The sequence below is a fragment of the Homo sapiens genome, chromosome 17 (genome assembly GCF_000001405.40).
Source record: "Homo sapiens chromosome 17, GRCh38.p14 Primary Assembly".
In the NCBI taxonomy this organism is placed as follows: Eukaryota; Metazoa; Chordata; class Mammalia; order Primates; family Hominidae; genus Homo; species Homo sapiens.
In genome coordinates, this window is record NC_000017.11 from 17,442,609 (window position 1) to 17,450,592 (window position 7,984).

At 52.7% G+C, this 7,984-nt stretch overlaps 2 annotated features.

Annotated features, from left to right (window-relative positions):
• Positions 3,185 to 4,384: an enhancer, noted in NCBI's record as "BRD4-independent group 4 enhancer chr17:17349107-17350306 (GRCh37/hg19 assembly coordinates)". NCBI's record gives its function as "activates an origin of replication core promoter dependent on BRD2, P300/CBP, MED14 and CDK7 cofactors, and independent of BRD4, by STARR-seq in HCT116 cells {active_cell/tissue: HCT116}" and the evidence as "EXISTENCE:reporter gene assay evidence [ECO:0000049][PMID:35650434]".
• Positions 7,483 to 7,984: an enhancer, noted in NCBI's record as "H3K4me1 hESC enhancer chr17:17353405-17353906 (GRCh37/hg19 assembly coordinates)". NCBI's record gives its function as "activates a minimal SCP1, AML or CMV promoter by ChIP-STARR-seq in naive H9 embryonic stem cells {active_cell/tissue: H9 hESC(naive)}" and the evidence as "EXISTENCE:reporter gene assay evidence [ECO:0000049][PMID:30033119]".

The following is a 7,984-nucleotide window of genomic DNA, read 5'->3' on the forward strand; positions in this document are numbered from 1 at the left end:
CTGACCCCCCCCACCTCCCTCCCGGTACCGGGACGGCTGGCCTGGGCGGGGGGCTGACCCCCCCCACCTCCCTCCCGGACCGGGCGGCTGGCCGGGCGGGGGGCTGACCCCCCCCACCTCCCTCCCGGACGGGGCGGCTGGCCGGGCGGGGGGCTGACCCCCCCACCTTCCCTCCCGGACGGGGCGGCTGGCCGGGCAGAGGGGCTCCTCACTTCCCAGTAGGGGCGGCCAGGCAGAGGCACCCCTCACCTCCCGGACGGGGCGGCTGGCCGGGCGGGAGGCTGACGCCCCGACCTCCCTCCCGGACGGGGCGGCTGGCCTGGCGGGGGGCTGACCTCCCCACCTCCCTCCCGGACGGGGCCGCTGGCCGGGCGGGGGGCTGACCCCCCCCACCTCCCTCCCGGACGGGGCGGCTGGCCGGGCGGGGGGCTGACCCCCCCCACCTCCCTCCCGGACGGGGCGGCTGGCCGGGTGGGGGGCTGACCCCCCCCACCTCCCTCCCGGACGGGGCCGCTGGCCGGGCAGAGGGGCTCCTCACTTCCCAGTAGGGGTGGCCAGGCAGAGGCGCCCCTCACCTCCCGGACGGGGCGGCTGGCCGGGCTGGAGGCTGACGCCCCGACCTCCCTCCCGGACGGGGCGGCTGGCCTGGCGGGGGGCTGACCCCCCCACCTCCCTCCCTGACGGGGCGGCTGGCTGGGCGCAAAGCACATGATTTTCAAGGGATAAGTTGTTAGGATGTTTTTAATTGTGATGATGAAATTCCAGCTCAAGTTAACTTAAGCAAAAGTAAACAAGCAAAATTCCAAAAAGGGAGTTTACTTTCTTACATAATTTCAGAGAACAAAGATGGGTGTCTTGCTAGCTTCAGTCATAGCTGGACCCAGGTGCTCAAATCTCTCTCTTTCTCTCTCTTCTTTCTTCATTGTCTGATAGCTTCAGGCATACACAGTAAACCCTCAGCTCATGATTTCAGAGTAAGAGAGAGCCTCCTCTTGGACCAACAACTCTAGACTGGGAAATGGGGCACCACAGTTGGCCAGACATGGGTTGCATTCCCCCAAAGCCAGGGGATAGGTTGACCAGCAGCTTCACAGGACCCACATGGGGCAGATGGGATGCAAGGCTGACAAACTATCAGTGAGACTCTGTGGATAGAAAGCATGAGTAGGCGCCAAACATTTCACGTAAGCAGCGAATATGCAGGCTTCCTCTTTGCATCTCACCCAACTATGCTTAAAATGGCTTGTCTGGCACACTTTGAGGGGTCAGCCTACTTCCTTGCATTCAAAAGGTGAAGAGTTTCTAACTCTTTGTTCTTGAATCAAACCAAGTGACTGAAGACTAAGTGTTCCAGATGGGCCAACCACGCAGCAGCATGGTGGCAGCTCTGAGATGCTGCCCAGTGAGCCCCAGTAGTCACATCCTGGAGAGTCCCCTCTTCACTGAATAGGACCCATCTGGCAACCAGTAGGACTGCAGAAATGATGTCCAAGGCTAGGCCATAAAAGACATGGTTCCTGCCTTGCTCTCCTTGAATCACTTCCTCGGGAGCAGCCAACTGCCATGTTGTAAGGACACTTAAGCAGCTCTGTAGAGGAGTCCATGTGGTGGGAAACTGAGGCCTCCCACCAACAGCCAGCACCAACCTGCCAGGCATGTGGGTGCACCACCTCAGAGGTAAATCCTCCAGCCCCAGTTCAGCCTCTAATGACACAACCCCAGCTGATACCCTGACTGCAACCCCATGAAATCCCTGAGCCAGAACCACCCAGCTAAGCCACTCCTGAATTCCTGACCCACAGAAACTATGAAATAATAAATGTTCATTGTTGTTTCAAGCCACTAAGTTTTGGGGTCATTTGTTACACAGCAGTAGAAATCTGATACAGGCATATTGTGGTCCCTTCCTCCCTTCCCAGGGACAGAGTCACTTTGGAAAGCTTCCTTGGATCATTTTCAAAGCACTTCTCAATAACTATCTTAGTTCTTGTTACAAAGTTTCAGTTTCACAAATGGACTCACACGGATATCACAGGCTGCTCCAACCCTCAACAGTGAATTTGCCGATAAAACAAAATCAGGGACTAGGTGTGGTGGCTCATGCCTGTAATCCCAGCACTTTGGGAGGCCAAGGCGGATGGATCACCTGAGGTCAGGAGTTCGAGACCAGCCTGACCAACATGGAGAAACCTCATCTCTACTAAAAATACAAAATTAGCCGGGCATGGTGGCACATGCCTGTAATCCCAGCTACCCGGGAGGCTGAGGTAGGAGAATCGTTTGAACCTAGGAGACGGAGGTTGCAGTGAGCCGAGATTGTGCCACTGCCCTCCAGCCTGGGGAACAGAGTGAAAAAAAAAATCAGATTTCCACTGCATTTACTTCCCTCTCCTGTACTAGATATGGAGGTAGTTGAAATTCTAACAGGAAGGATGCCTTCAAAGTTCGGTCAGTCTCCCTCCTTGTTACTGCATATGACGGGTGGTATCACACACTATCACAATACTGCAAAGTCATTGATAACATGTGGCAGGAGTGCCCTGGGTTCTGAAGCCCCATGAAGTCCTCCAGGCGGTCTTCTGGCTGAAGTAGTGCCTCCCTGGCAGATGAGCTAGAATTCAAGGAAGTCTGATCCTAGGCTGCTTGCATCAAGGGAGAACTCGGGGAAGAGGTGGATCCTGAGCACACCCTTCAATGCCCCCCTTCCCTGAGGTGACTGGGACATACCCCACACATACCCCACCTGGGTCCCCTGCTGTTGCAAAGCAGTTTCCCTCCCCCTCCCACAAGCCCTCAGTCACGTAGGTGCCAGCACCTGGGCCCCTCCCACAGACAGCCCCATGCTGAGCACCTTTCTGATCCTATGTCATTGCTGGCGTTTGCTTTTCCTCCCCTCTCAGGATCCAGATGTTATCATTCCCCAGGAGCTCAAACTACTCCATCTCCCTGGTCTCCCATCGTTGAACTCCAATCATGGAAAGAATGCCATACAAGCTAGTGCTCCTCAGTGTACCAGCCAGGACTCTGCAAGTGACAGAAAGCCCCGCACACAGGCTCCAGCCCATCCTCAGGTCTCTGCCTCCTGCTCCGGCTCTGGCTTCCTCCGCATGTTGGATTCGTATGGGTTGGTCCCCAGCTGCCCTGTGAGGCAAGGCAGGCCTTGATGTTCACTTGCCATATCAGGTCCCGCCTGCCTCTGCAGAAAAATTTTAGGCTCCTCAAGGTCTGGGTCCACTTCTACTCCTCCTATCAGAGTGTAAATAAAAACAGTCTCCTCATCCTGCCCCTGCTCATATAACCTCTGTGACAGGATGCTCACTACTTGGAGAAGTAACTCTTTTTGCGGAGCTGGTCTCCGCCCCTTCTGTGACTGCCACCCACTGGGCCAGTTCTGCCTAATAGCAAAGAACACTGCTCACCAATCTTCTTTCCTTTCCTTCCTTCCCTTTTGCCCATAAGTCACCGATGGATGGACTGGACCCATGGGCAACGTCTGTGGATGACGCTGTGTTTGTCCTTCCACAGGGCGTGGGGCTCCTCCACCCTGCATCAGGCACAAGCCTGCTTTTGGGGAAAGTCCCACCATCTCATTTTCCCTTGCCTAAAATAGCTACTTCCTTTATGGGGAATGCAGTGTGGTGGGGAGCAATGAAAGGGATGAGGTAAGTCATCCACAGATGCCTGGTTTGGAATCATTCCTGAAAAGGTCAGCGTTTTCATCAGCCAAACAGGAGGCAGGGCACTTCCGGCTGGTCATTAACCAAGGCAAACAGCGTGGCGGGGAAAGTCAAAGCCATAGCCAACCACAAACAAACAAGTCATGTATCCTCTGTGGAGGTGACTTTCTTCTGAAGGAATGTGTGGTTGTTTGCAGATAATATCAAATCCATTTCACGTCAGATCAGGATGACAGACAGCCAGAGGCTATTGGGGTCTCACATTAAATGGCTCTTTTATGGTAATAAATTGTTTCCTTTTCACGGTTGCATGAGCAATCTCAAGTTTTATTTTGAGGTGTCAACTGCCCTCAGGGACACCTGCCACAGGTGGGATCTTGGGTCCTGGCCACCATATGTGAGAGAGCAGACCCTGGCTGAGTCACTCAGCTGTGGTCGCATCACCTCTGTCCCTGCCCCACTGCTCAGCCCCATGCAGGCTGGCAGGGGAGGCCTCCTCTCCCCCATGGGGTCTCCCTTTCTTCCTCTCACACTGATCATTGGAAAGAGTGGCTTGCATTTGCCACAGTGCTGAGGGCTGTCAGTCTTCACAGCTGAGGAAATGACATGATTTGTTGGGAGCCACTTGAAATAACCAGTTCCCCAGCTGGTCTCGCTGTCCCTGTGCTGGCAGCCCTGCTGACGTGGGGCCTGGCTAGACAGAGGTGGGCCTTCTGTGCCCTCACCTGGGCCATCCCCACCATGCGGTGAGGTTGGGTTGCATCCAGCCAGGAGGCAGCTGGCAGGGCCCTGTGGCTTGTCTGAGGACCCAAGGGGGAACTTATCAGAGGGCAAGAGAGAAAGAGGGCTGAGGGGTGGTATGTAAGAGGGAGGGGGCTAGGAGAGTGTAGATGCTTCCTGAAAGGTCACGGATTCTATTGGAATTCCCAGCCAAACTTCAGGACTGGGAAACACCCTTCTTAGGAGGTGGCTAGGGGCTCAGGCTGGCTTGGCTCATTCCTGGCCTGCAGGCCTTGCTCCTGAGCACAGGGCAGGGGCTGCCGGCCCCGGTTCAGAATGGGATCTGAAAGCTGCCTGGAAAGAATGGGCCTCTGGATCAGGATCACCAGGGTGGGACCTGGATATTTCCCATAGTCACCAGACGTGTTGCTCAGAGGGAGGTTCCTGGCCAGCAGCTTTGTTGGCATCACCTGGGAGCTTGTTGGAAATGCAGAACCTTGAGCTCTGCCCAGACTTACTCCCTCAGAATCTGCATGGTAAATGATCTCTGCTGACCCGGGCACTGGGGTTCAAGGACCTCGGCCCTGCCAAATCTGAAATCCAGAGCTAGGCCAAAGTACACTTGTGGAATCAGGATGCTGAATCTAAGTTAAATGCAGAAGCATCCTTTGAGCAAAGGTGGTGGAGTGGGCTGAATTATGACCCTCTCAAAAGATGTCCATGTCTCAGAAATGCAGAATGTGACCTTATTTGGAAACAGAGTCTTTGCAGATACAATTAAGATCTTGAGGTGAAATCACCCTGAATCATCCAAGTGGGTCCTAAATCCAATGACAAGTGTCCTTGTAAGAGAAGAGGAGAAGACACAGAGACACAGGCAAGAAGACCACGCAAAGACAGAGACAGAGATTGGAGTGATGTGGCCACAAGCCAAGAAACACCTGGAGCCACCAGAAGCTGGAGGAGGTAGGAAAGATCCTCCCCCCAAGCTTTTAGAGCGCAAACCCCTGCAGAAACCTTGGTTTTGGACTTCTGGCTTCCAGAACAGTGAGACATTACATTTGTGTTGTTGTAATGATTACAGCAACCACAGGAAACTAAAGCAGGTAGCCTTTTCAGACTCTGCAGAGGAAAAAAAAGCATGGCCAAAGTTACCCAAGAAAGAGTTGATGACCCCACCAGTCCCCAGTCACAGCAGTCTTAGCTTTGTTCCCAGAATTAGCTGACCTCCTCCACCCCATTTCCTTATTCCTTTTTAATGCTCCACAAAACCCAAGGACAGTCGAGACCTGGTCCTGCGTGGCTGCCTGATCACCAGACCGTCAAAAGCTGCCGGCTCCTTCATGCTCCCAAACGTGACTATTTTATTTACTCTTAACTTCATCTTGTTTGGAAATTATTTAAAGCAGTTTCAATGGAGTCAAACTGAGTCATATTTTAACTGCTTAAGTACCACTTAAAAACAGACTTTATGAGTTCACTCGGATTAAGAAACAAAAAAGGAAATAAAAGAAAAATGAAATAAAATAAAAAAGAATAAAAACAGATGTCAACAAGTCCTTTGGCAAATGATCCCACAATGGCTTCATTTTCTGAGCTTAGATGGCGCTAGATGAGGTTAATTTCAAACGAGGTATACTAGTACTAGATTCGAATGGACAGAAACTCTGAAGGTTCTGGGATCGTTTTCCTTTTAGAAAGTTTTCAGGATTCAAAGATAAAGATTCAGGGCAGTGGTTCTCAACTTTGACTCACACTAGAATCATTTGGGGAGCTTAAAAAGAACAGCCACATTCCAGACTCTCCCCAGATCAGGTAAGTCAGAATCTTGGCGGGTAAAGCCCACCCTGGGGCTCCATGGAACCCCTGAGCCAGACCCTGCACCCAGCTTCGCACTGACCTCCACATGCTGCAGGGTGTAGTGTGGTCATGTGCCCAGGGCTGGCCAATCAGATGTGCTCACCCTGAGCTCAGCTGTGAAGGGGCAGGTACCATCCGGGATCCATTCTGCCAGGCATGATAACAGGCAGTGCCAGTGTGGACAGTGGTGGGATAAGCTGTGGGCTGGCACCCCATCGTACAGATGAGGACACAGCTCAGAGGGATCCAGAGACTTGTCCAAAGTCCCATAACTAAGGACTGGCAGAGCTGGGATTTGAACCAGCCCCTCTGGCTGCAACGCCTGCCACCTTTTCCTCCCTTGAAACAGCTCCATGCCTTAATTAGGGGCAGTGTTGGCCAGGCGCGGTGGCTCATGCCTGTAATCCCAGCACTTTGAGAGGCCGAAGCGGGCGGATCACCTGAGGTCAGGAGTTCGAGACCAGCCTGGCCAACATGGTGAAACCCTGTCTCTACCAAAAATACAAAAATTAGCTGGGTGTGATGGCAGGAGCCTGTAATCCCAGCTACTCAGGAAGCTGAGGCAGGAGAATTGCTTGAACCTGGGAGGTGGAAGGTGCGGTGAGCAGAGATGGTGCCACTGCACTCTAGCCTCGGTCACAAGAGCAAAACTCCATCTCAAAAAAAAAAAAAAAAAAAAATTAGGGGCAGTGTTCTGGACTCTGGCTTTCAGGCCTAGCTCTCTGATTCTCCCAGCACATCCATGAGCAACCAAACATGCCTTCTGCTTTTTTTCAAAGTTAATTTTGTTATTGAAGTATCAGATACATACAGAAAAGATCACAGATCCTAAGTGTGCAGTTCAATGAAGTTTGACAAAGCAAACACACTCATGTAATCAGAACCCAGACCAAGAAATAGAACAGGGCCAGCACCTTAGAGACTCTCCCAGGGTCTCTCCTCCCAAACATAACCACCACCAGATTTCTAGATTGGTTCTGCTTGTTTTTGAGCTTTATAGAAACAGCATGATATAGTGCACACCCTTTTCGTGTCTGGCTTCTTTGAGTTAGCGTGGGTGAGAGTCATCCATGCTGCTGTACGTAGCTGAGGTTTCTCCATCCTCCGTGCTGTCTGGTGTGAAGGGCCGTAACCAGCTTACCTGTTCTATTGTGAATGGACATTTGATGTTTGAATGGTGCTGCTAGGAATATTCTATTCTTATGCCTGTCTTTTGGCACCAGTGTGTACCCAATACCCTCTTAAGAAATGCTTCTGCTAAAGTGAGCAGAGTTGGTCTATGTTGTTTACAGCTAAGCACCTTGGTTGATGCCATTTATAAGCACTACTATTGTCCCCACTTTACAGAGGAGGAAACTGAGGTTCAGAGAGAGGTTCAGCCACAGGCCAGGCACAGCTGCGGCCTTAGTTACAAGGCCATGTCACTAAAGAGTAGCAGAGCTGGGATTTGATCAGAGCTGTCCTCTTAACCACTAGTTAAGGGACACAAGTGCATCTCCGCCCCTTAGACCTGCCTGATGCCGCACAGCGGTTTAACAGATAATACCCACCCCCTTGATGGAAATGGCTGGGGCGGGGGACTGAGAGCTGCACTGATGGTGCTGTCCTGGGCAGGGCTTGGGATGTCGCCAGCATGCAGGAGCCCTGAGAGGAGGATCAGTCCCTTCCAAGAGGGATATGAGGGAGGGGGAAGCCTCCTGGGCTGCCACTGCTCCTGGCAGCAGCCC